Genomic DNA, 26,783 nt, shown 5'->3' with positions numbered 1-26,783 from the left:
AGAATAGCTTGAACCAGGGAGACAGAGGTTACAGTGAGCCGAGATCACAGCACTGCACTCTAGCCTGGGTGACAGAGTGAGACTCCGACTCAAAAAAAAAAAAAGGGCGCAACCTCAGTTGCAATCAGGCAAATGTGAGACTCCGACTCAAAAAAAAAAAAAAAAGGCGCAACCTCAGTTGCAATCAGGCAAATGAACATTAAAATAACAGGAAAAAAAAGGCCAGGCCCAGTGGCTTACACCTATAATCCCAGCACTTTGGGAGGCCAAGGCGGGCGGACCACCAGATCAGGAGATTGAGATCATCCTGGCTAACACAGTGAAACCTGTCTCTAATAAAAATACAAAAAATTAGCAGGGCGTGGTGGTGGATGCCTGCAGTCCCAGCTACTTCGGGAGGCTGAGGCAGGAGAATGGTGTGAACCCGGGAGGCGAAGTTTGCAGTGAGCTGAGATAGCATCACTGTACTCCAACCTGGGCGACAGAGCAAGACTCTGTCTCAAAAAAAAAAAAAAAAAAGAGAGAGACCAACCTGGTCAACATGGCGAAACCCTGTCTCTACTGAAAATACAAAAATTAGCCAAGCATGGTGGCACACACCTGTAATACCAGCTACTTGGGAGGCTGAGGCACGAGAATTGCTTGAACCCGGGAGATGGAGGTTGCAGTGAGCCAAGATCACGCCACTGCACTTTAGCCTGGGCAATGGAATGATGCTCTGTCTCAAAAAAAAAAAAAAAAGGAAAAGAAAAGAAACCACAAAGATGGAATTTTCATCTATCACACTAACAAAAATTTTAAAGTCAAACATTTTGAAGTTTCGAAATCATTATACCCTCTGAATTCAATTTTTTTTTTCTCCCAAGACGGAGTCTTGATCTGTCACCCAGGCTGGAGTGCAGTGGTGCTATCTTGGCTCACTGCAACCTCTGCCTCCCGAGTTCCAGCAATTCTCCTGCCTCAGTCTCCCGAGTATCTGGGATTACAGGCATGGACTACCATGCCCAATTTTTTTTTTTTTTTGAGACGGAGTCTCGCTGTATCGCCCAGGTTGGAGTGCAGTGGTGCCATCTAGGCTCACTGCAAGCTCTGCCTCCTGGGTGCACGCCATTCTCCTGCCTCAGCCTCCCAAGTAGCTGGGACCACAGGCACCTGCCACCACGCCTGGCTAATTTTTTGTATTTTTAGTAGAGACGGGGTTTCACCACGTTAGCCAAGATGGTTTCAATCTCCTGACCTCGTGATCCACCTGCCTTGGCCTCCCAAACTGCTGGGATTACAGGCGTGAGCTACTGTGCCCGGCCTAAATTCAATCTTAAAGTGTTTGAGCTTTGGTCTGAAAATGCATTCTTGGAGAAAAATAAAGTAAAATAAAAAATAAAAAAACTAAAATGTTTGGGCTATACTTTGAATTCTTTGTTGTGCGTACTAATTTTATAGTAAACTAACAGCTTAAATCAAGCTTTTCTGAAAAGGGCCAGATGGTAAATATTTTAGGCTTTGAAAGCATTACGGACCCTGTTGAAATTACTCAACTCTGCCAGTACAGGGTAAAAGCAGTCATGGACAATATGTAAACAAATGGGCAAGATGGTTTTCTAAAAAATTTCATTTTTATGGACATTGAAATATGAACTTCACATAATTTTCACATGTCACAAAATATTATTCTTGTTTTGATATTTTTCAATTACGTATTTCAAAACATAAAAGTCATTCTTGGCTGACAGGCCATACAAAAACAGACAGCAGGTGAGGCATGGTAACTCACACCTGTAATTCCAATGACTCAAGAGGCCAAGGCAGGAGGATCACTTGAGCCCGGGAGTTCGACACTAGCTTGAGAAACATAGCAAGACCCCATCTCTATAAAAAACAAAAATTAGGCATAGTGGCAAACACCTGTAGTCCCAGCTACTTGGGAGCCTGAGGCAGGATTGCTTGAGCCCAGGAGTTTCAGGCTGCAGTGAGCCATGATTGTACCACTGCACTCCAGCCTAAGAAACAGAGCGCGATCCCATCTCAAGAAAAAAAAAAATAGTATAGTACAGTAATTCTAGTGTATATATATATATACTTTTTTTTTTTTTGAGACAGAGTCTTGCTCTGTCTCCCAAGCTGCAGCGCAATGGTATGATCTCAGCTCACTGCAACCTCTGTTTCCCGGGTTCAAGTGGTTCTCCCTGCTCAGCCTCCAGAGTAGCTGCAATTTCAGGTGCCCATCACCATGCCCCGCTTATTTTTGAATTTTTAGTAGAGATTGGATTTTGCCATGTTGGCCAGGCTGGTCTCAAACTCATGACCTCAAGTGATCCGCCCATCTCGTCCTCCCAAAGTGCTGAGATTAAAGGCATGAGCCACCGCACCTGGCCAATTCTAGTATATTCTTATCAAATGACCCTTGATATGGTTCATTTGAAATAAATAACATTAGAAGCTCCAGTCAAGCAAAAGACAAAGTAGAAGGCATCACTATTTTGTTCACATTTACCCATCAAACATTTCCTGAATGACTGAGCCAGCCTGCAGAGCTAACACTGCAACAGTGAAGTGAAGAAATCCCAGACCTGGGGTCCTGGAATCCAAGAGCCCCATAGAGGAGACATGAACATATCCCACTGCAAACAAAAATATCTCGGTGAAGGTGAAACTTAATGGGAATTGGCTATCCAGGAACATTCTGCCCAGGTTGCAAATGAGGTTGGAGAAGTCTTGACAGAAGAGGACTCTTGAAGTTAGTAACAACCATGAGATTTACTGAGTGTTCAAAAGATTCCAGTCATTGCTGAATAATATCCCCTTAAATTTGCCATTAAAAGCATCAGTAGGATTTGAACAGGCAGAGGAGGCAGGGAGGAAACACAGCTTGCAAAGGCACAAACATGCAAATGTGCCTGGCATGCCTGGGGAGCATCAGGTAGTCCATAGCAGGAAAGCTAAAACTGAGAGGAGCCCTGAATCCCAGGTGAAAGCTTCTAGACTTAATCTAGGGGACCACATGCAGGCATTCAAGATTTTCAAGCCAGGGATGAAAGGAACAAGATCTATGCTTTATTTTTATTTTATTTATTATTTTGTGACAGGGTCTCACTTTGTCACCCAGGCTGGAGTGCAGTGGTGCAATCTCAGCTCACTGCAGCCTCAATCGCCCAGGCTAAAGAGTTCCTCCCACCGCAGCCCCTCAAGTAGCTGGGACTACATCCATGCACCACCATGCCCAGGTACGCTTTTTGTATTTTTCGTAGAGACAAGGTTTCACCAGGTTGGCCAGGCTGGTCTTGAACTCCTGTGCTCAAGCGATCTGCCCACCTCGGCCTCCTAAATTGCTGAGATTACAGGTGTGAGCTGCTAAGCGCAGAAGCACGATCCATGTTTTAGAAAGGTTAATTCTGGAGCTGGGAGGAGATTTTGTAAAATCCAGAGAGCCAGAGGCAGAGGAAGTTAGGAGGCTGATGACATCATTTGGGTGAGAGAAGGCAAGGGTGGAGGCAGTGGCAATGGAGAGAAGTGAATTGGTTCTTAAGATATTCTAGAGAAAGTCAAGAAACTTTCTGTCCAGTGATCTTTATGTTCTTCCCTGCTGCCTTTTTTTTTAGAGACAGGTTCTCTAAAAAAGACTGTTGTGCCAGTCTGGGGTGCAGTGGTGCAATCCTAGCTCACCATAGGGTCTCACTGTGTTGCTCAGGTTTAGTCTTTATGTTCTTTGTAGAAGAACAGATTCAGCTATCTGCAGAGCAAGAATATTTGGGGGTGGTAAGGAGCAGGGGGAGTGGACAGTCTGGAACAGCCCCTGAGGTAAACATGACAGAGATACGAGTGAAGGAACAGAGAGATAAGAGTGAAGGAACAGAGAGGCTCAGGCGTAGCACCAATGGCCCAACTGAGGCTGGAGCTCAGAAACCAGCTTGTGCAGCCAGTTAGCACGGCTGAGTAATTTGGTCAGCAGTGCTGGAAAGCCTAGACACGCAGGCATAGAAAACCTGTGCCTGGGTTGATTTAGGATGGAGAACTGGCCAACCAGCCACCACAGAAGGTCAAAAGGAGAGGGATGGCTGCCTGGCCCTTTGTCCTTCCTGCTGGCTGGCATGAGAATATGATAGCAGGAGGCGACACAGCCAAGACAGACCACAATGTAAGAGTGGAAATGAAAAGTCACAGCAGAGCAACATGCTATAAAGAGTCGGAGTCCCTGATACCACAGAGTCGCATCACACAGTGCCCCAGACCACATACCTGGGCTTTTATGTGCAAGAGAAAGAAACTTCTAGCTTGTTTCAGTCACTGTTTTGTTAGGTTTTCTACTGCTTGAAGCCAAAACGACTTTAACTAATAAAAACTGAACTGAGTAGAAAAGAAGTAAAACCAGGAAGGGGCTGGTAAAGAGAAGACCAGAGACCAGAGGGCTGACCCTTACCCTGTCAGTCCAGAAGCAGGTTTAGAGGGAGTGGGGTAGAAGGGAGGAAGGCTGTAATCAAAAGGGGAATTTCAGCATTCTAGATTTCAGAAGTAGAACAGTTCCCAAGAAGAAGTGGTTAAATTCTTTGGGATTTTTGGTTGTTTGTTTTTGAGTAAGGGTCTTGCTCTGTTACCCAGGCTGGAGTGCAGTGGCATGATCACGGCTGACTACAGCCTCAACCACCTGGATTCATGTGATCCTCCGACCTCAGCCTCCTGAGTAGCTAGAACTACAGGTGCCTGTCATCATGCCCAGATAATTTTTAAATTTCTGCAGATACGGGGTCTCACTATGTTGCTCAGGCTGGTCTTGAACTCCTGGGCTCAAACGACCCTCTCACCTCGGCCTCCAAAAGTGCTGGGATTACAGGCTTCAGCCACTGTGCCCTGCCTTGGTGGTTAAATTCTAATCACAGCATTCATGGCAGCTCATCATTGATTGAGAATTTAGGATGCACTGAGCAATCACTGTGCTAAGCAAGTGCTTCCCACGGATAACTCTCCGCCAAATCCCAAGGAGGAAGGCACTACCATTAGCTCATTTAATGATGAGGAAAGTAAGATTTGGAGAAGCTGAATCATGCGCCCAAGACACTCAGCCCCCTAGTGGTGCTTGGAATTCGACTCGAGAGCCAGAGCATGGCCTGCTGGGACACACTGCTGCCCAAGTGTTCCCCTCTGCCTTCCCGATCACCCTCCATTCTCCCACCACCACTCTAGTCCCACAAAGTGAAACAGAATCAATAGCTCACCTGCAGCGACTCTCCCTGGAGAAGGAATGAGAACTCCGCCCATGTCGAAAATCACCGCTCTGTAGGTGCTGCCTCCAAGGTGTGTCCATCGGTGGGACCCCTGGTGCCTGCGCTGGGTGTGTTTCAGGAAGGCTGTTCTCCACACCCACTGGAGACGGGGGGACTGGAAACAGCTCCTGACACACATGGTGAGGCTGAGGCTGTGTGGGAAGAAGGCACAGGGCGTTACTTGCCTGCACTGCCTCCCAACCAGGCCTCCATCCTGGAGCTCAGAGGGGCCAGCCAGACATCTCTAACCCATCTCCAACAGGCACTTCGAATCACACCCACAACTGACCTCAGTGTCTCCTCCCTCCCTGGCTACTTAGTCAAGGGCTCCATCGCCCACTCGGCTGCCCAAGCTAGAAAGCTGGGACTCGCCTCTGACTTTCTGCAATCTCTACCTCACCTCGCCCTATCTAGTTCTGTGCTGTCAAGTCTTTCTCCTGAAAATCTCATCTACCTCTTTGCATTCTCACTGCCACCATCTTGCCCATGGATCCTAACTGGCCCCCTTGCCTCTTCTCAGACCTCTCTCCAATTCTTTCTTCACCCTCCAGTCAGAGTATTCTTTAAAAATTGTAAATCTGGGCCAGGTGTGGTGGCTCACTCCTGTAATCCCACCACTATGGGAGGCCAAGGCGGGTGGATCACCTGAGGTTGCGAGTTCGAGACCAGCCTGACCAACATGGAGAAACCCCACCTCTACTAAAAATACAAAATTAGCCGGGCATGGTGGCGCATGCCTGTAATCCCAGCTACTCAGGAGGCTGAGGCAGGAGAATCGCTTGAACCCGGGAGGCAGAGGTTGCAGTGAGCCAAGATCGTGCCATTGCACTCCAGCCTGGGCAACAAGAGCAAAACTCCATCTCAAAAAACAAACAAACAACACCTTCAATGGCTCCCCATTGCCCTTAAAATAAAATCTCAATTCCTAAGCCTGGCTTAAAAGATCTACTCCCGTCAGGCGCAGTGGCACACGCCTGTAATCTCAACACTTAGGGAGGCTGAGATGGGCAGAACACCTGAGGTCAGGAGTTGGGAAACCAGCCTGGCCAACATGGCGAAACCCCATCTCTACTCAAAAACACAAAAATAACCTGGGCATGGTGTTGGGTGCCTGTAATCCAGCTACTTGGGAGGCTGAGGTAGGAGAATTGCTTGAACTTGGGAGGCAGAGGTTGCAGTGAGCCAAGATTGTGCCACTGCACTCCAGCCTGGGTGAGAAAGCCAGAGTCCATCTCAAAAAAAAAAAAAAAAAAATCTCATTCCTTTCTGCAGCAGCTCCCCATTTTTTCATCTCAACCTGGGATGATCTGGACATACACATCTACATGCAGTTTCCTCAAACGCATGTTCTCCTCTGCAATGCTCTGTTCCACCTGTTGCCTGGCTAATTCCAAACAGTCCTTTGGGTTGCAGTTTACCAGTCACTGTCTTCATGAAGCCTCTTGGGGATACCAGAAAAGACTCATTAGGAGTCTCTCCTGTATGCACCTAAGATGTCCTGTACTCGCCTCCTCCTAGCACTTACGATGACACCCTCACACCACAAAACACCATCATTTCCACTTACAGATCACTGCAGCAGCCTGGTAACTGTTCCTCAAACTTACTTTCAAAAGGTTCAGGAAAAAAAAAGACACACACAACACACATACATACATGTACACGTATACAGATGCATACCTATATACACTCGTGTATAGAGAAAACCAAACATGGCCAGACATTAATAGTGAGTCTAGATGAAAGGTATAACGGGAGATCACTGTAACTTCTTTTGACTTTTCTATAAGCTTGAAATAAAAAGATGGGGAAAAAAACCAAAATAATGAAGGCAAATTCTATTTTCTTCATGAAAATCTTTAAGCTTTTTATGTGATTTCTACAGTTAAAAAGCTTACTAAAAATCAGGAGAGTGCAAAACAGGTTGGTAAGACAGCATCTGAGTTTACAGGAGTCATTCAGTGGGGCCAAAAGGACTCCAAAACTATATACTTTGAGCATCCCCAATCCAAATATCTGACATCTGAAATGCTCCAAAATCAGAAACTCTTTTTTTTTTTTTTTTTTTGAGAGTCTCACTCTGTTGCCCAGGCTGGAGTGTAGTGGCACGAATTTGGCTCACTGCTACCTCTGCCTCCCAGGTTCAAGTGATTCTCCTGCCTCAGCCTCCCGAGTAGCAGGTACTACAGGTACGCACCACCATACCTGGCTAATTTTTGTATTTTTAGTAGAGATGGGGTTTCGCCATGTTGGTCAGGTTGGTATCAAACTCCTGACCTCAGGTGATTCACCTACCTCAGCCTCCCAAAGTGCTGGAATTACAGGTGTGAGTCACGGCGCCCAGCTAGGACTAAAAAACTGTAGAGGTTGAGCATCCCTAATCCAAATATCCGATACCTGAAATGATCCAAAATCCAAAACTTTTTGAGCCCCCACACGATGCCACAATGAAAAATTCCACACGTAAGTACTTAACACAAACTTTGTTTCATGCACAAAATTATTTAAAATATTGTATAAAATTACCATCAGGCTAGGTGTATAAGATATATATGAAACATATATATATAAGTGAATTTCATGTTTAGCCTTGGGTCCCAACCCCAAGATATCTCATTATATATACGCAGATATATCAAAATCCAAAATCTGAACTACTTCTGGTTCCAAACATTTGGGACAAGGGATACTCAACCTCTATAAGCACCTAGAGAAAGGACTCTTAAGTGGTAAATCTTGAATATAATGTGTTTCTCATCTATAGTCAGCCCTCTGTATTTGTGAGTTCCACATCTGCAGATTCAGCCAACTACAATAGAAAATATTCGAAGTAAGGCCGGGTGCAGTGGCTCACGCCTGTAATCCCAGCACTCTGGGAGGCCGAGGCGGGCGGATCACAAAGTCAGGAGATTGAGACCATCCTGGCTAACACGGTGAAACCCCATCTCTACTAAAAATACAAAAAATTAGCCGGGCGTGGTGGTGGGCACCTGTAGTCCCAGCTACTCAAGAGGCTGAGGCAGGAGAATGGTGTGAACTGGGGAGGCGGAGCTTGCAGTGAGCCGAGATGGTGCCACTGGACTCCAGCCTGGGCAACAGAGTGAGACTCCATCTCAAAAAAAAAAAAAGAAGAAAATATTTGAAGTAAAACAAAACAAAACAAACACACACAGTAAGGGCACAGTAACTGACGCCTGTAATCCCAGAACTTTGGGATGCTAATGTAGGCGGATCACCTGAGGTCGAGAGTTCGAGACCAACCTGGTCAACATTGTGAAGCCCCGTCTCTACTAAAAACACAGAAAAAAAATTAGCCAGGCGTGGTGGCGCACACCTGTAATCCCAGATACTCGGGAGGCTGGGACATGAGAATCACTTGAACCAGGGAAGTGGAGGTTGCAGTGAACCAAGATTGCACCACTGCACTCCACATTCCAGCCGGGGTTATAGAGTGAGACTCCATCTCAAAAACAAACAAAAACCAACAAAAATAACAACACAACAATAAAAAATGCAAACAAAAAATACAGGTTAACAACTATTTATTTACACAGTACTTACACTGTTTTAGGTATACATACATATATATGCATGTATATATATTTATATATTTTGATATGGATATGATTTGATATATATATTAAATATATATATTTTTTGATATGGAGTCTCCCTCTGTCACCAGGCTGGAATGCGGTGGCATGATCAGAGCTCACTGCAACCTCCACCTCCTGGGTTCAAGCGATTCTCCTGCCTCAGCCTCCCGAGTAGCTGGGATTACAGGTGCGTGCCACCACGCCTGGCTAATTTTTGTGTTTTTACTGGAGACAGGATTTCACCATGTTGGCCAGAATGGTCTCGATCTCTTGACCTCATTATCCACCCACCTTGGCCTCCCTAAGTGCTGGGATTACAGGCGTGAGCCATCGTGCCCAGCCAGTATTATAAGCAATCTAGGGATTACTTAACTCATATCTTGCTTGCCCTGAGAATACTGTGCTGGCAGCGAGCTGCACTTTTTTTGCTTTCTTTTTTTTGTTTTGTTTTGAGACGGAGTCTTGCTCTGTCGCCCAGGCTGGAGTGCAATGGTGTGATCTCGGCTCACTGCAACCGCCTCCCAGGTTCAAGCTATTCTCTTGCCTCAGCCTCCCGAGTAGCTGAGACTACAGGCGCTCGCCACCACATCCAGCTAATTTTTTGTATTTTTATAGTGGAGACGGGTGTTAACCATGTTGGCCAGGCTGGTCTCGAACTCCTGACCTCAAGTGATCCACCGGCCTCGGCCTCCCAAAGTGCTGGGATTGCAGGCGTGAGCCACCACACCAAGTCAAGTACTTTTTTTTTCTAAATGGGAAATGGGTTAAAGCATATAGGAGGGTGTACATAGGTTATAAACAAATGCTACACCATTGTATATCAGGAACTTGAGCATCCACAGATTTTGGCATCTGCAGGGGGTCCTGCACCCATCTGCTGAGGATACCACCATGCAACGACAGTAATTGGAAATTTGCTGAATTTGGGGGCAATATTTGAAACTAAAAATGTCAAGGTTCATTTGCATTTTCAGTTTTACTTAACGTTCCTATGCCAAGGCCAATGTTTATGATAGAAAGAGAAATTTACTTACACACTTGTATATTTTGTGTGAGGGCTTAGTAGAGACGAAAAATGCCTTTGGGGGGGCCGGGCGCGGTGGCTCACGCCTGTCATCCCAGCACTTTGGGAGGCCGAAGTGGGCGGATCACAAGGTCAGGAGTTCGAGACAAGTCTGACCAACATGGTGAAACCCTATCTCTAAAAAAAAATACAAAAATCAGCTGGGTGCAGTGCTGTGTGCCTGTAGTCCCAGCTACTTGGGAGACTGAGGCAGGAAGCTTGAACCCAGGAAGCCGAGGTTGCAGTGAGCCGAGATGGCACCACTGCACTCCAGCCTGGGCGACAGAGTGAGACTCCGTCTCAAAATACAAAAAAAAAAAAAGGTTTGTTTGGTAAAGAGATAAAGAATGTTCGTTCTGGATTCAGATTGCCTGAATTTCAGTTCCAGCTCTGCCACTACTACCTGTGAAATCCTGAGCCAGTTACTCTTCCTCCAAGCCTCAGGTTACTCCTCTGTAGAACAGGGACATAGTACCAGTTTCATAAAGTTGTTGTGACCATTGCATGACACAAGGTATATGAAACACTCAAATTAGTACCTGGCACATGTTGAAATGTTATCTACTATAGTAATATACTAAAAAAGTTCACAAGAGGTCTCATAGGTTTTATGCATACAGTATGTGTGTATGGTTTATGCACTTTCACATAACCCTGTGATTCTTCAACAGGGTTATGTTTTCTAACCCCAAGGAGACATCTGGAAAGGTCCAGAGACATTATTGGTTGTCACCACCTGGGGAGAGGTGCTACTGACATCTAGTGGGTCAGGCCAGGGATGTTTCTAAACACTCTACAATGCTCAGGACACCCCGCCCCCTTGCCAAAAACAAAAAAGAATAATCAGGACCCAAAATGTTAATAGTGCAGAGTTGAGAAACCCTGATTTAAACAGGGCATATGGAAACGTATTTCATAGGATGTAGTCACAAGATCTATATACGCATGTATCTTGTGGTCATGTCATAGTCCAGATACACACACATCTAGAACGCACTATGTCCACACACACACACATCTAGAATGTACTATGTACTTACATATGTATCATTATACAATGTACCTAGAGTAGCATCCTGTCATGTATGTGTCCCATATGCATTGATTGTGTCAGTATCTACATACAAAAGCCACTCTGACATACTGGAAAGAATGCTGAGCCTCAGAAAAGCTAATGTTATCTCCATATACATAATTCCATTTCATCCTCACAACTGCATGAGGACATGATATCATGCCAACTTTATGCAATGACTATACTAGTTCAAGACTGCACAACTGCTGATGTAGGTCAACCTCATAGTACGGACAGGAACTGTGTTTATCTTATACGCCAACGTATCTCAAGCATCCCAAGGGTGTCTAGACTCTCAGTAAACATTTGTGAAGTGACAGGGTGGGGAGGAGGACCCCGGTCTAACTGCAGCACTATGCTCGTAACCAGCAGATCACCATCTTTTCTCTCTTTTTTTTGAGACGGAGTTTCGCTCTTGTTGCCCAGGCGGGAGTGCACTAGCACTATCTCGACTCACTGCAACCTCCGCCTCCCGGGTTCAAGCGATTCTCCTGTCTCAGCCTCCCAAGTAGCTTGGACTACAGACGCGCGCCACCAAGCCCGGCTAATTTTTTGTATGTTCAGTAGAGACGAGGTTTCACCATGTTGGCCAGGTTGGTCTCGAACTGCTGACCTGAGGTGATTCGCCCGCCTAAGCCTCTGGGCTGGGATTACAGGCGTGAGCCACCGCGCCCAGCCAGATCGCTATCTGAACAGCGATCGACTCTCCACTCTCTACGGCCCCTTAGAAGGAACTTCACCTCTCTGAGCCTCGTTGTACCTATCTGTAAAGTGGGACAGAAACAAAACCATCCAGACTAGGGTTAGAGACAGGAGTCAAACACAACAAAAGGGGCAAAGTTCTGCATAGCAGATAGCTCGGACAATTCGGAGACCTCGCGGAGCCAGGGATCCCGCGCCGTCAGCCGAGGTGGATTAGGACGAGGCCTCTGGAGCAAGCAGAGGTTAACTCGCGACTGTGCGAAAACCTGCAGCTCAGCCTAAGTGTGGCACCCCAGCGCAAGCAATCTCCACGACGTCCTTCCGCTCCGACCTCCTCAAAATTGCGTCCGGAAGAGCAGTGGGTGACCCCTGCCACGCCGCCCAATCGCTGTGCGCGGTCCTGCGCGCATGCGTAAACCGCAGGTCAGCGACGGCGGCCGGGAGGCGGAAGTGGAGGTTGTTGTGGCTCCGAGGGCTGTTCGAGGAGCTGCTGCTGCTGAGGCGGCGGCAACTGCATTGAGGTGGTGGCGGCGCTGCCGGCCCCGGGCCGCTCGGCCTCTCGGCTCGCCTTCCAGCCTCGCCTGAGCCCGCCGGGGCCCGCGCCGGCCAGCGCCTGCCCTATGAGTGTGTCACTGGTTGTTATCCGATTGGAGCTCGCGGAACACTCGCCTGTCCCCGCCGGCTTCGGCTTCAGCGCCGCGGGTGAGTCCCGCGGCCTCGCCGCATTCCCTGTAGCCGGGTCTGGGCCCGGAGGGCTTCCCTTCCCAAAGCACTGGCCCGGGAAAAGCCCGCGGCGAGGGCTGTTGCCCAGGAAGACACGGAGAGGTAATCGGGATCCCTCTCTTTCCCATCCGCCTTTGAGAGGCCTTCCCGTTTGTTATCTCAGGGAAGCCCTGCCCCGAACCTCCCTCCCTGTGCCGTCTGAGGGCATTTAGTTTATACCTGGCGCGTCTCCCTCTCGAGATAGTCGAGTGGTGTGTTTGTCTCACTTGCTTCCCTATGGGCTTCGTAAAGGCAGGGACTGGGTCCCCAGCAACGCTGGACGGTCCCTGGGTTAATTAAATTGTTCCCTTTTGGAACGATATCCATTGAAGTGCCCCCTAACCATAGTCATAACTAAAATTTGGACACTTCCTATATCCCAGCACTGTACTAAGCACCTTTTGTGTATTGTATTCTTTAATTATCTTTGCAACAGCCCTAAGAGGCAGATGGATGTGACATGTACCTCTTACACATTGGGAAACTGAAGCTTAGTGATTAATTGATTTGCCCAAGGTTATCTGTAATGGGTGAAACTGGGATTCTAACTCAGTGAGCTGGACTTGAGTCTGAGCTTTTTACACCATTAACACAAGTGAGGAAGCTCCTTAGTGGGGAATGCAGCTCTGGCTCTGTTCCTTGGTCCTCAGATAATTAACTAACATTCATTCAAGAAATACTTGGCCGGGCGCGGTGGCTCACGCCTGTAATCCTCACACTTTGGGAGGCCGAGGCGGGCGGGTCACCTGAGGTTGAGAGTTCAAGACCAGCCTGGCCAACATGGTGAAACCCTGTCTGTACTAAAAATACAAAAATTAGCTGGGCGTGGTGACAGGTGCCTGTAATCCCAGCTACTGGGGAGGCTGAGGCAGGAGAATCGCTTGAACCCGGGAGGTGGAGGTTGCGGTGAGCCAAGATTGTGGCACTGCACTCCAGCCTGGGCGACAAGAGATAAAGTCCATTTCAAAAAAAAAAACAAAAAAAAAACTTATGCTCATATCTGCTGGAGCCTTCCTTGTGTGCTGAATCAGACAGCGTCTCTGTTTTAATGGCACCAGCAGTATCATGGAGGAAACAGATGAATTAAATAAGTGCAGAATATGTGTAGAATTACAACTGTGGTAAGTGCTGTGAAGGAAAGGAGAAACAATTTGGGAAAGTATTACAAGAAGATGTGTTTGGTTTGGAGAGAGGGATGGGGGCAGGTAGGGATGGTGTCATTGGGAACTTCCTGAGGACGTGACCTTTGAAGCTGCAAATTAAAGATTGAATATGACTTTATAGCTTATGAGCACCTTTCCAAAGGCTAAAAGTGGCTTCTGAGTTCTGAGAGTCAGCTAAATTGATATTAGCCGCATATAGACATCTGCATGGGTCAGTCATGTAGTCATTTATTCATCAAACATTTAGAGGGCTTCCTCTGTGTGCTCGGCACTGTGGTATAAGGGCTGGGAATACAGTGGTGGGCAAAACAGGCCTTGTCCCTGCCCTGACAGAGCATGTATTAGGGATATTTCAGTTAAGTCTCCAAATTCCGTTTCCCTTTTCATGTGTTTCATTGATTTAAGACAGTAATCACAGATGTTCATGGCTTGGTTCATGGCATGAGCATAAGCCAGGATGTTTAAGACTACCCCTACAAGTTTTTGAAATTTTGTTTTTTTAATGGACTTGATAGCTTCATTTTGGGCTGAACACAATTTCATTTTATCAGGTGTTACTAAAATGTTAGCTCATCTGGGCATGATCACTGTTGCATCTTCTCTAAGGCTCCCTCTTTGGCGATTTGCTTTAAAGTGCATGATTTTGGGCCAGGCGCAGTGGCTCAAACCTGTAATTCCAGCGCTTTGGGAGGTCAAGGCGGGTGGATCACTTTGAGGCCAGGAGTTCGAGACCAGCCTGTCCAACATGGTGAAGCCCCATCTCTACTGAAAGTACAAAAATTAGCTGGGCGTGGTGGCACGTGCCTGTAATCCCAGCTACTCGGGAGGCTGGGGCAGGAGAATCACTTGAACCTGGGAGGTGGAGGTTGCAGTGAGCCAAGATCACACCACTGCACTCCAGCCTGGGTGACAGAGTGAGACTCTGTCTCAAAAAATAAAAATAAAGTGCATGATTTCAGTAGAACAGCCCTGCATTTCTGAGTATATTGTCCTGGCTGCTTATTGACTCTTTGCTGTGTACTGCAGTGGTCCCAGAGTTGAGTGAGATGGATACTACAAAGGCTTCTTATCATCTTGGCGGAAGGCAGGAGAAAGAAAAGGAAAACCTAATGATAGAGGAATAGAGAACAGAGAGGAGCTTGTTTTATTACCTTGTATTAATCATTCATGTGTTCTTTAGCCGGGGAAATGTCTGATGAGGAGATAAAAAAGACGACACTAGCCTCAGCTGTAGCCTGTTTAGAAGGCAAGTCACCAGGAGAGAAAGTAGCGATTATCCATCAGCATCTCGGCCGTCGAGAAATGACAGATGTGATCATTGAGACCATGAAGTCCAACCCAGGTATGCTTTCTAAAACCCTGGACTCTCTTTTGTAATGTGAACACTGGTTGCCTATTTTATACACGGTGTTTGATGAGCCTACAATTTCAACATCTAGCATACTTTTGTCTTTCACTACGTGTGTGCTTTATATGACACTGTTAAGCCACATGTTAGTGTTTCCAAATATTTCTTCCAAATTAATCCTAACAGTTGGAGTTGACAATTCAGTTCAGTGACGGGGGGGACTTTTTTTTTTGAGGCAGGGTCTCTGTTGCCCAGGCTAGAGTGCAGTGGTGCAATGTCGGGTCATTACAACCTCAGCCTCCTGGGCTGAAGCAGTCTTCCTGCCTCAGCCTCCCAAGTAGCTGGGATTACAGATGCCCTCTACCACGCCTGGGTAATTTTTGTATTTTCAGTAGAGACAAGGTTTCTCCATGTTAGCCAGGCTGGTCTCATACTCCTGGTCTCAAGTGATCCACCTGCCTCGGCCTCCCAAAGTGCTGGAATTACAGGTGTGAGCCACCACACCCGGCTACCAGGGAGAATTTCTTACCACCTAGTTCAGTGGCAGATCATTAATGTGTCCAAATAAACATGTCGTGCCTTCCCCTGCTCTGCCAGCTCATTTTTTCTTTCTTTCTTTTCTTTTTTTTTTTTTTTTTTTTTGAGACAGTCTCACTTTGTCCCCAGGTGGGAGTGCAGTGGCATGATCTCGGCTTACTGCAACTCCACCTCCTGGTTTCAAGCAATTCTCCTTCCTCTCTCAGCCTCCCAAGTAGCTGGGACTACAGGTGCACGCTACTACACCCAGCTAATTTTTGTATTTTTGGTAGAGACAGGGTTTCACCATGTGAGCCAGGATGGTCTCAACCTCTTGACCTCCCAAAGTGCTGGGATTACAGGCATGAGCCACTGCACCCGGCCAGCCAGCTCATTTTATCTGCGGAAGTGGATGTGTAGATAGTACTACATCTCCAACATGGAGGTGGTCAGAACTGGTAGGTTTGGATTTCCACCTTAGTAGCCCTGAATGTTTGTCCCAGTTAGGATTTCGTGATAGAAGATACCTGCTTGCATTATGGTATTGCCAAATGTAATAGCCATCCTTAAGTTTCTGAGGGTGTTAATGAGATTTTTATGGAGCAAAGAGAGCTTTAAAGTATGATGCCCTCATAAACTCAGCTATTCTACAAATAATAGCTGTTAATGCATTACATTGTAATTACTCTATCAAAGTTTATTCCTCTGACTTGAAATTTTAATCTAGTTCAAATCCTTCAGCATATGTCCTATCCATTTATAATCTGCTATTTTTTAACTGGTGAAAGATGAACTAAAAACTACAGTGGAAGAAAGGAAGTCTTCAGAAGCCTCCCCCACTGCGCAAAGAAGTAAAGATCACAGTAAGGAATGCATAAACGCTGCCCCAGATTCTCCGTCCAAACAGCTTCCAGACCAGATTTCATTCTTCAGTGGAAATCCATCAGTTGAAATAGTTCATGGTATTATGCACCTATATAAGACAAAGTAAGAAAACCCTCTTTTCTTGGGGGTTAGTCAATTTTTTTTTTTTTTTTTTTGCTTTGCTTTAGCATAGTCTCTTGTCCTGAAGGAAAGTGGGTATTTTAAGCTTCAAAATAATAATACTTTTGTCTGTTGTATGTTAGAGAATTCTCAGATGTTTTACATTTGATTAATCTTGTGGATTGGGTCAAAGCTTTTCCTTATAAAAGAAATGCTTGTGGATACACTTAAGAGAATATGTGGGAAAAATGTTTTCTTTTTTTTTTTTTGAAATGGAGTTTCGGTCTCGTTGCCCAGGCTGGAGTGCAATGGCGCGATCTCAGATCACTGCATCTTCTGCCTCCTGAGTTCAAGTGATTCTCCTTCCTCAGCCTCCCAAGTAGCTGGGATTACAGGTGCCCACCACCACACCTAGCTAATTTTTTGTATTTTTAGTAGAGATGGGGTTTCACCCTGTTGGCCAGGCTGGTCTTGAACTCCGACCTCAGGTTATCCGCCCGCCTCAGCCTCCCAAAGTGCTGGGATTACAGGCGTGAGCCACTGCGCCCTGCCAGGAAAATGTTTTCTTAGCAGATAGGCATGGAAGGTGATGGGGAATTGAAAGGACAAAGAAAATGATCCACAGCATCTTTGTAGTCTCATGTCCCCACCAAATCTTTACTGAAGAGGCTGCTAAGAAGTCAGTTAACTCATTACAATTTTATTACCTCTTTTTTACCATTTTCTGTGGTTCAAACAAAGCTTGCTAGAGCCCCAAGGAAAGGAAGCATTTGGCTAGATAATCCACAAGCCCAGCCACTACCTTCTTGGGTAATGGTAGCTGATACCTTAAGGCTGTTCTTGTGCTAACTCATTTGCCAGATCTCTACTGGGAAAACAGTGACTATTCAGGTAGCCATTTTGTTTTTTGTTTTGTTTTTTGTTTTGTTTTTTGTTTTGTTTTTTTTTGAGACAGGGTCTCACTCCATAACTCAGGCTGGAGTGCAGTGGTGCAATCCTGGCTCACTGCAACCTCCCCTCCCGGGTTCAAGCAATTCTCCTGCCTCAGAGTAGCTGGGACCACAGGTGCACACCACCACGCCCAGTTAATTTTTTTTTTTTTTTTGGCAGAGATGGGGTTTCATCATGTTGGCTAGGCTGGTCTCGAACTCCTAACCTCAAGTGATCAGCCCACCTCAGCCTCCCAAAGTGTTGGGATTACAGGTGTGAGTCACTGCACCCGGCACAGGTAGCCATTCTGGATCACAGCTGTCAAGTGAGTTTGCAGCATTTCAAAAAACAAATTGCATTGTGGGAGGATTTTCTTTCCTCTCTATTCCAGCCATCTCAACTTGGTAACACTTCCTGTAATCCTCAGTTACATCCTCATGGTTTAGAATTCTCTCTTGCCGGGCGTGGTGGCTCACGCCTGTAATCCCAGTACTTTGGGAGGCCGAGGCGGGGGATCACGAGGTCAGGAGTTCGAAACCAGCCTGGCCAACATAGTGAAACCCCATCTCTACTAAAAATACAAAAATTAGCCCGGCGTGGTGGCACGCGTCTGTAATCCCAGCTACTTGGGAGGCTGAGCAGGAGAATTGCTTGAACCCAGGAGTCAGAGGTTGCAGTGAGCCGAGACCATGCAGCAAGACTCTGAAAAAAAAAAAGACAGAATTCTCTCGTATATTTAGAGCTGTTTTTTTAGGCCTTTTAAGAGAGGTCCATAGCCAGAGTTGTGCTTTTAAGTTAACCAGTGACAGATTTTTTTTTTTTTTTTTTTTTTTGAGATGGAGTCTTGCTCTGTGGCCCAGGCTGGAGTGCAATGGCGCGATATTGGCTCACTGCAAGCTCTGCCTCCCAGGTTCACACCATTCTCCTGCCTCAGCCTCCCAAGTAGCTGGGACTACAAGCACCTGCCACCATGCCCGGCTAATTTTTTTTGTATTTTTAGTAGAGATGGGGTTTCACCGTGTTAGCCAGGATGGTCTCGATCTCCTGACCTCGTGATCCACCCGCCTCGGCCTGCCAAAGTGCTGGGATTACGAGCATGAGCTACTGTGCCTGGCCACCAGTGACAGATTATTATTCAAACATTGATGAGAGTAAAACACTGCAAATTTACCGAATGCAGATTTATAACCGTAATAAATGTTGAACTGAAGATTAAAAAGTCCAATGGGGGGTATAATATAGAACAGTTCATTAATGAAATATTACAATTTTTATTTTTTCCTGTTTTCTTGGACATAAAAGTTGTCTAGTATTGTTTAAACTAACCATACCTCATCTATTCAAGACACTCTAATTTTTTTTTTGTTAGTAAGATGACCTCCTTAAAAGAAGATGTGCGGCGCAGTGCCATGCTGTGTATTCTCACAGTCCCTGCTGCAATGACCAGTCATGACCTTATGAAGTTTGTTGCCCCATTTAACGAAGTAATTGAACAAATGAAAATTATCAGAGACTCTACTCCCAACCAATATATGGTGCTGATAAAGTTTCGTGCACAGGTAAAAGTTATTAAATTTATTAAAAATCTCTTTGCCACAGAAACTGTGGTATTCAAACTGTATGATAGCTGTGTGTGATTTACAACATTTTGCACTTAAGATTCTTGAGATGTCTTCTAAGATATAATTGTAATTCTAGATGTATTTCTAAATTCATTAGCAGAAATACAATTATAACGTATACACTTTTTTTTTTTTCGGTAGAGATGAGATCTTGCTGTGTTTTCCAGGCTACTCTTGGCCTCAAGCAATCCTCCTGCCTTGGCCTCCCAAAGTGCTAGGATTACAGATGCTCTGAGCCACTGCACCTGGCCTCATGCCCATGATTTTTTATAGATCAGATTGAGTATGAAGTTTAGGGTTTTGCAAGGAGGCAGAGGTTGCAGAAAGCTGACATCACACCACTGCACTCCAGCCTGGGTGGCAAGAGTGAGACTCCGTCTCAAAAAAAAAAAAAAAAAAAATCTAGTGTGTTTTTTTGTTTGTTTCTTTTTGAGACGAATTCTCGCTCTGTCGCCCAGGCTGGAGTGCAGTGGTGTGGTATCGGCTCACTGCAACCTCCGCCTCCCGGGTTCAAGCGATTTTCCTGCCTCAACCTCCTGAGTAGCTGGGACTACAGGCATGCACCACCATGCCTGGCTAATTTTTGTATTTTTAGTGCAGACAGAGTTTCACTATGTTGGCCAGGCTGGTCTCGAACTCCTGACCTTGTGATCCACCCGCCTCAGTCTCCCAAAGTGCTAGGATTACAGGCGTGAGCCATCATGCCCGGCCTGTTTGTTTTTTTAAACAAGCGGTAACTATTCCAGAAAAGCGGTGGTTCCCAGACTTTTTGAAGTTAACACCATCTTATTATTTTTCCATTACCCCCACTTCTTTCATTTTTTTTTTTTTTTTTTTTGAGACGGAGTTTCACTCTTGTTGCCCAGGCTGGAGTGCAATGGCACGATCTCAGCTCACAGCAACCTCCACCTCCTGGGTTCAAGCCATTCTGCCTCAGCCTCCGGAGTAGCTGGGATTATAGGCATGCACCACCATGCCTGGCTAATTTTGTATTTTCAGTAGAGGCGGAGTTTCTCCATGTTGGTCAGGCTGGTCTCAAACTCTGGACCTCAGGTGATCTGCCCGCCCCAGCCTCCCAAAGTGCTGGGATTACAGGCGTGAGCGACTGCACCCGGCCTCATTCTCTTTTTAGTGGGGGAAGAGTGTACCTGTTCTGTGATCTCCAGAGAGAAGCTTTAGTGTGGAGTTCTGTCTGCAAGAGAGTACACAGTTATTATGTTTTCTGTTTACAAAGTACCCCATCATTTAGGGAGACATTTAAAAGGTTTCAATTATCCTTTGGATTTAAAGTTTACAAGTTGACATTAAGAACAGAAAAGCACTTGAATAGCTCCTTTCACTGTCCATCAGAAAGCCTTCCAAGGGTGCCAAGGAGCTTTGCAAACCATGGGAAAATCGTGCCTTAAGCCATTTCAGTCTGGTAGCACATGTAATAATAAGGATAATGATGATAATATCCAACGTTTATCGATGGCTTCTGTATCACTCACTGTGCTAAGTGTTCAATACACTTTGTCTCATTTAATCCTCACTACAATCCCTTGCGGAAACTGTGTTGTTATCTTTGTTTTACAGATGAGGAGGGTGACTGCAGAGGGAGATACATGGTTTGCCCAAGGTTACATAGCTAGACATAAATGACAAGCAAGAGTGTGGCACCCTCACTTTTAATTCCAGGGACGCGTTCCTCTTCTAGTAGGAGTGGGATGAAGGTGTGGGGAAGGGAGGCGGTTGTTTGTGAGACATTCTATGACAGCAGTATTGTTACAGTTTCTACTTAACAACTAGGGCAATAAGCAAGTAACAAAGGAAAAGACCCAGAAATAGATTGGGAAAAAAATGTTGAAGAGCACTCAGGCTTTTGAAATAGTCTGAAGTCGTATAAATCCACCACAGTCACCTGTTTAATAAACCCACACAGTTCCCTATAACAAGTACTGCCCTTCATAATGTGCAGGTAGTACTGTGGATATTTACTGTGAATGAATTTTCCTTGTACATCTGCACTATCCTTCCCCTTGTGTCTTTTGATCAAGTGAAGGTTGCTCAAGTTGACATGTTTTTCTGAGACTGCGAAACAGGTTGCTGCATGCTCTTCCCCATGGGGCTAGAACCCTTTATCTTGGTATCATGAGTTGTATTATTTATTGCTAACTCTGGGTCTTAGGGGCTAATCCCTATCATCCTAACAGGGATTTTCTAATACCTAATAATACCCTCTTGGTGTAAGACTGGAAGTTAAACTAATATCGGCTGTAGTGAGAATAATAGGCTCAGTAGCTACCAACTCTGAAGCACTTACTAGAGACCGGACCCTGTGCCAAGTGCTTTCCATGCATTGTCTCCTTGAATCCTCTCAACGATGCCATGTTGGCCAGGTGCAGTGCCTCATGCCTTTAATCCCAGCACTTTGGGAGAGACCAAGGTGGGCGGAACACTTGAGGGCAGTGGTTTGAGACCAGCCTGGCCAACATGGTAAAAGCTTATGTCTACTAAAAATATAAAACTTAGCTGGATGTGGTGGCGCACGCCTGTAATCTCAGCCACTTGAAAGGCTGAGGCAGGAGAAACTATTGAACCTGGGATGTGGAGGTTGCAGTGAGTCAAGATCACACCACTGTACTCCAGCCTGGGCAACAGAGCGAGACTCTGTCTCAAAAAAAAAAATGCCATGTATTTTACAGTTGAGGAAACAGGCACAGATAAGTCACTTGCCTGCAGCCAAACAGCTAGTAGGTGTCAGAGTTAGGGTTCAAACCTAGGCAGCCTGACTCCATAGCCTGGGCACCTAACTATGTTTTTATTCTTTTCCTCACCACAGATTTTTAAATAAGGACTTATAAGCCTTCTCTTTATCTTTGGTAATTTTTGAATTTCTGTTGGCCTTAGCTTTAGCTGAAAGAGTTGTGAGGCCAGGTGTGGTGGCTCATGTCTGTAATCCCAACACCTTGGGAGGCCAAGACAGGAGTATTGCTTAAGGCCAGGGGTTCAAGACCAGCCTGGGCAACATGGCAAGATCCTGTTTCTTAAAAATTTTTTTTAAAAGATCAAAAAAAAAGGGGGGGTGTGCTTACCAATTTGTAGTGTGACCCTTAGGAAACTTGGTCTTTGGGTAGAGAATTTACAGTTCTTCAGGACATAGGAAAAGCAGAAGGAAGTTCAATTTTGTTGTTCTTGGGGGCAGAAAAGGACAGATGACCACTTAATAGAGTATGTTGGCTTTTTTCACCTGCGTGCTTAGTTACCACAGCCTTAGCAGACACCTCCTTGGAGAAGTAGAGGTATGTTCTCAACACTGTAGTTGATTCCTGTGACAGCGAAGGAACTTGATCATAATGGATTTGTCTTTTTCTGAGTTAATCCTCAGAAGAGAACAATAAAACCAAAGGACTAGAGGGAAACAAAAGCCAGGTTTATTTAAAGTTTTGGGTCCACACAATGCAAACATTTTCAATAAAAGCTGTTTCTGCAATGTTCTTGGCAGTTAGCTTCAGGCTTTTGTTTAGTGCATTTAGATGGTGAGTTGAAGTAGGAACCATGTGTAGTTTGTTCCCTACTCTCTACCTAGTACATAGCACAGGGCCTGGCACATACTAGATGCTCAGAAAATATGTGAACAGGTGAAGGTGCATTTCTAATACCAAGATTTTAAAGAAGAGATCAATATGTTAATTGGGAAATCTCAGCTGTTTAGTGATGTTGTCATTACAAAAAAGTACTTTTTCTTTTTACTTTTTTCATTTCTGCCACAATCATCCTAGTGTAGGCCACCATGACAACTCACCTACATGCTTCTTCTCCTTTTTTATTTTATTTTATTTTTTTTGGAGACAAGGTCTCACTCTGCTGCACAGGCTGGACTGCAGTGGCACGATCTCGGCTCACTGCAGCTTTCACCTCCTGGGCTCAAGCTATCCTCCCACCTCAGCCTCCCAAATAGCTGGGACTACAGGCTTCCACCCCCATGCCCGGCTAATTTTTGTATTTTTTGTACAGATGGGGTTTCGCCACGTTGCCCAGGCTGGTCTCAAACTCCTGGGCTCAGGTAGCAGAAAGGAATAATTCATTGAATGGTTTTGGTCACATGCCTTATCCTTTCCTGTAGAGGAGGCTGGTCGTTTAGTGAGCATTTGCAGAGCTCTAGACCCCAAGAGGGCTCTACCAGCCACTGGTGGTGCCTGAGGCTCTGAAGAGGTGAGAGAAGGCCCTGACTTTCAGGCAGTCCGTTTTCTCCTGGTGAATCCATGTGCTGACTTTGCTGCTTACTTAGCCAAAAGCATTTCAAGAAACCGTTGCTCCTGAAGAATGGGGGAAGCCATATTAGGTTGTAACCTCTTAGTATTAAAGAGGCTTCTTCTCCAACAGCTGGCTTTAAACATTTTCAAATTGTAATGCACTATGCTCAATACACGGATTATTTTCTTAAGTAAAGCCTCTCCACCCCGACCTGCTGCCACTCTGCCCCTCCAAAATAAAAGTATATTCAGAATTGATCATCCTTCCTCAGCTGCTTAGCTCACTTGGTCATGTTAAGAAAGCATAAGTAGCCAGGCGCGGTGGCTCACGCCTGTAATCCTAACACTTTGGGAGACCGAGGTGGGTGGATTGCCAGAGCTCAGGAGTTCGAGACGAGCCTGGGTAACTTGGTGAAACCCTGTGTCTACTAAAATACAAAAAATTAGCTGGGTGTGGTGGCGTATGCCTATAATCACAGCTACACAGGAGACTGAGACAGGAGAATTGCTTGAACCTGGGAGGCAGAGGTTGCAGTGAGCTGACGTCATGCCATTGCTCTCCAGCCTGGGTGACAAAGCGAGACACCATCTCAAAAAAAAAAGGTGGGGGGGAAGCATAAGTAATCAAGAATTCACAATTACCTCATTAGAGGGGAATTAAAAGCTATCGAGAAGCTTACAGTGTCTGTGAGATTCAGAACCTTGTGAGGGTGGACAGGCAGGAATATTTTTGCCTGGTGCAGCCCTGAATCTCTTCCTTAAGGTTGACGATGCTGCATTTCCTGTTGCAGAATTCCCAGAAGCAGCCTGTCAATGTTGGTAGGGCCAAAGCACATAACTTTCTGTGTTTGGATTAATGCCCGTATGGGAATAAAATCCAGACAAGCCTTGGCCTCCCCGCTTGCCTTAAAAAATTGGCTGAGTTTAAAAACTGGAATCGTCTCCATTGCTTGCTACTAAGGCTAGACTAGAAGGTTCTGTTTACCTGTGTCCATTTCATAGACGCACATGTGCCTTTGCAGCTTTGCCTCAAAGGGACTGTTTGTCCACATTTCACCCATTTTCTAACGCTAGCAAATGAGACTGTTAGTATTTTAAAGGCTGGTTCATCTTGGGCCCCTTGACCTTGACCAAGAGCTTTGCTTTTGGTATTGGACACTAGGTGGCGGTTTAAGACCTCCTGATGGGACCCATTAGATGGGATCTAACTATCATATATTATTATTATTATTATTTGGTTTATTAAAGAGTAGTTGGTTTTTCATCTCATACCAGTTCCCCTGGTCTTTTATTTTTTTCTAACATAAGTGCTGACATTTTCTTTCTTTTTTTTTTTTTTTTTCTTTTTGAGATGAAGTTTCGCTCTTGTTGCCCAGGCTAGAGTACAATGGCCCGATCTCAGCTCATCGCAACCTCTGCATCCTGGGTGCAAGCGATTCTCCTGCCTCAGCCTCCCGAGTAGCTGGGATTATAGGCGTGGGCCACCAGGCCCGGCTAATTTTGTATTTTTAGTAGAGACAGGGTTTCTCCATGTTGGTCAGGCTGGTCTCAAACTCCTCACCTTAGGCGATCCGCCCGCCTCGGCCTCCCAAAGCGCTGGGATTACAGGCGTGAGCCACCACGCCCAGCCCAATGCTGACATTTCCTTAAAGAGTTCTTTCATAACAAGCGTCAGTTATTATTTGGTTCCAGGCTTTGCAGAAATGAGTGTTTACTTTCAGCTGCACAAGTGATGACTAGAGGGAAAAAAAACTGCTATTAAGGGAAATGTTGACTGTTGCTGGTTGAATATGAAAATTGTACCAGCTTTCAGCTTGTTGCACTTCAGTACCTTCTGCCAGTTCAGGTAAAAACTCTGTTGTAGCCCAGGAAATACTGTAAACATGGAATATTGACTTACAGAGTGTGATTAGCCTACCAATCAGCTTCAGTAGATGTGACTTTTGGTGGTTGCTCTCTCTCCTAAGTATAAATTTTAAAAGCTGATGAGAATGAATAAAGCCATGCATATTGAATATAAAGCAGATTTTCAGGGTATCTGTCTTAATTTTTTTCCTTTTCCCCATTGGTGTACATAGGCTGATGCGGATAGTTTTTATATGACATGCAATGGCCGCCAGTTCAACTCAATAGAAGATGACGTTTGCCAGCTAGTGTATGTGGAAAGAGCTGAAGTGCTCAAATCTGAAGATGTAAGTGTGAATTGTTCCTATATTTAATTAAAATATATCAGATTGGTGTAAAATTGAATGCTAAGGTATCTGTGAAATACCCAGAATAGGCCAGTCCATAGACACAGAAAGTAGACTGGTGGTTATCAGGGCAGGAAGAGACGAATGGGGAGTGCCTGCTAACAGGATACAGGCTTTCTTCTGGAAGTGATGGACGTGTTCTAGAATTAGATAGTGATGACAGTTGCACAACCTTGTGAATATACTACAAGCCAATGAACTGTATACTTTAAAATAGAGAATTTTATTGAATATCTCATTTTCTAAAATTTCAAAAAACGTAAAAAAAAAGAAAAAAGATACTGCATTGTTGAAATTGAGTGTTTATCAATTCTAGATCAACGAAGCCTGGAGCTGAAAATAAATGTTTTTGTTTTCAATATTAACTCCTAATTCTTGTTTCTGCCTTTTATTTTTGAGACAGGGTCTCGCTGTGTCACCTAGGCTGGAGCACAGTGGTGTGACCTTGGCTCACTGCAGCCTCTGTCTCTCCAGTTCAAGCATCTGCTAGCCTCAGCCTCCTGGGTAGCTGGGACTACAAGTGTGTACCACCACGCCTGGCTAATTTTTTAAATTTGTTTTAGAGACAAGATCACCCTGGCTGGGCGCGGTGGTTCATGCCTATAATCCCAGCTCTTTGGGAGGCTGAGGTGACGGATCGCTTGAGCACAGGAGTTGGGAGGCCGAGGTGATGGATTGCTTGAGTGTAGGAATTCGAGACCAGGCTGGGCAACATGACGAAACCCTGTCTCTACAAAAAATACAAAAATTAGCCAGGTGTGATGCTGAGCACCTTTGGTCCCAGCTACTCAGGACCCTGAAGCAGGAAGATCACCTGAGTCGGGGGAGGTCCAGGCTATAGTGAGCCGTGATCTTGCCATTGCACTCTAGCCTGGGCAACAGTGAGACCCTGTCTCAAAAAAAAAAAAAAAAAAAAAAAGTCTCTCTGTTACCCAGACTGTTCTTGAACTCCTCAGCTCAAGCATTTTTCCCACCATGGCCTTCCAAAGTGCTGGGATTACAAGTGTGAGCGACTGTGCCTGGCCTCTTGATTCCGTTTTGTTTTGTTTTGGAGACAGAGTGTCACTCTGTTGCCCAGGCTGGAGTGCAGTGGCACTCTCTTGGCTCACTGCAACCTCCACCTCCCAGGTTCAAGCGATTCTTGTGCCTCACCCTCCTGAGTAGCTGGGATTACAGGCATACGCCACTATGCCAGGCTAATTTTTTTATTTTTAGTGGAGATGGGGTTTCACCACACTGGCCAGGCTAGTCTCGAACTCCTGGCCTCAAGTGATCTGCCC

At 45.5% G+C, this 26,783-nt stretch overlaps 2 protein-coding genes across 7 annotated transcripts in view, besides 4 other annotated features; one reads left to right on the top strand and one right to left on the bottom strand.

Moving 5' to 3' along the window:
- ACAD10 (acyl-CoA dehydrogenase family member 10) overlaps positions 1–12,051 on the bottom strand; it is a 71,047-nt gene extending 58,996 nt beyond the window's left edge. For both annotated transcript variants that reach the window (NM_001136538.2, NM_025247.6), the window contains exons 1-2: positions 11,865–12,051; positions 5,208–5,407 (exon numbers count right to left, since the gene is read on the bottom strand). In NM_001136538.2, coding sequence (NP_001130010.1) covers positions 5,208–5,394 — 187 coding nt within the window. In that variant the 5' untranslated portion in view covers positions 5,395–5,407; positions 11,865–12,051. The remainder of the gene's footprint in view (positions 1–5,207; positions 5,408–11,864) is intronic.
- Positions 11,720–12,421: an enhancer, noted in NCBI's record as "H3K27ac hESC enhancer chr12:112123487-112124188 (GRCh37/hg19 assembly coordinates)". NCBI's record gives its function as "activates a minimal SCP1, AML or CMV promoter by ChIP-STARR-seq in naive and primed H9 embryonic stem cells {active_cell/tissue: H9 hESC(naive and primed)}" and the evidence as "EXISTENCE:reporter gene assay evidence [ECO:0000049][PMID:30033119]".
- The window catches only part of BRAP (BRCA1 associated protein), a 43,811-nt gene continuing 29,175 nt past the window's right edge, over positions 12,148–26,783 (top strand). The window contains exons 1-5 of one of the 5 annotated variants that reach the window (NM_006768.5): positions 12,148–12,393; positions 14,797–14,958; positions 16,269–16,467; positions 18,764–18,953; positions 25,330–25,443. In NM_006768.5, the coding sequence (NP_006759.3) occupies positions 12,312–12,393; positions 14,797–14,958; positions 16,269–16,467; positions 18,764–18,953; positions 25,330–25,443 (747 nt within the window). In that variant the 5' untranslated portion in view covers positions 12,148–12,311. Of the gene's footprint in view, positions 12,517–14,796; positions 14,959–16,268; positions 16,468–18,763; positions 18,954–25,329; positions 25,444–26,783 lie in introns of those variants that run through there. The other 4 variants (XM_005253944.5, XM_017019992.2, XM_047429622.1 and 1 more) reach the window with 4 other exon arrangements.
- Positions 12,276–12,375: a silencer, noted in NCBI's record as "silent region_4874". NCBI's record gives its function as "represses an Ori minimal core promoter by ATAC-STARR-seq in GM12878 lymphoblastoid cells {active_cell/tissue: GM12878}" and the evidence as "EXISTENCE:reporter gene assay evidence [ECO:0000049][PMID:35858748]".
- Positions 12,422–13,123: an enhancer, noted in NCBI's record as "H3K27ac-H3K4me1 hESC enhancer chr12:112122785-112123486 (GRCh37/hg19 assembly coordinates)". NCBI's record gives its function as "activates a minimal SCP1, AML or CMV promoter by ChIP-STARR-seq in primed H9 embryonic stem cells {active_cell/tissue: H9 hESC(primed)}" and the evidence as "EXISTENCE:reporter gene assay evidence [ECO:0000049][PMID:30033119]".
- Positions 13,124–13,825: an enhancer, noted in NCBI's record as "H3K4me1 hESC enhancer chr12:112122083-112122784 (GRCh37/hg19 assembly coordinates)". NCBI's record gives its function as "activates a minimal SCP1, AML or CMV promoter by ChIP-STARR-seq in naive H9 embryonic stem cells {active_cell/tissue: H9 hESC(naive)}" and the evidence as "EXISTENCE:reporter gene assay evidence [ECO:0000049][PMID:30033119]".

This window comes from Homo sapiens, chromosome 12, assembly GCF_000001405.40.
Source record: "Homo sapiens chromosome 12, GRCh38.p14 Primary Assembly".
Lineage (NCBI taxonomy): Eukaryota > Metazoa > Chordata > Mammalia > Primates > Hominidae > Homo > Homo sapiens.
Note: the sequence above shows the minus strand (reverse complement) of the source record. Positions and strands in the feature narration are given on the sequence as shown.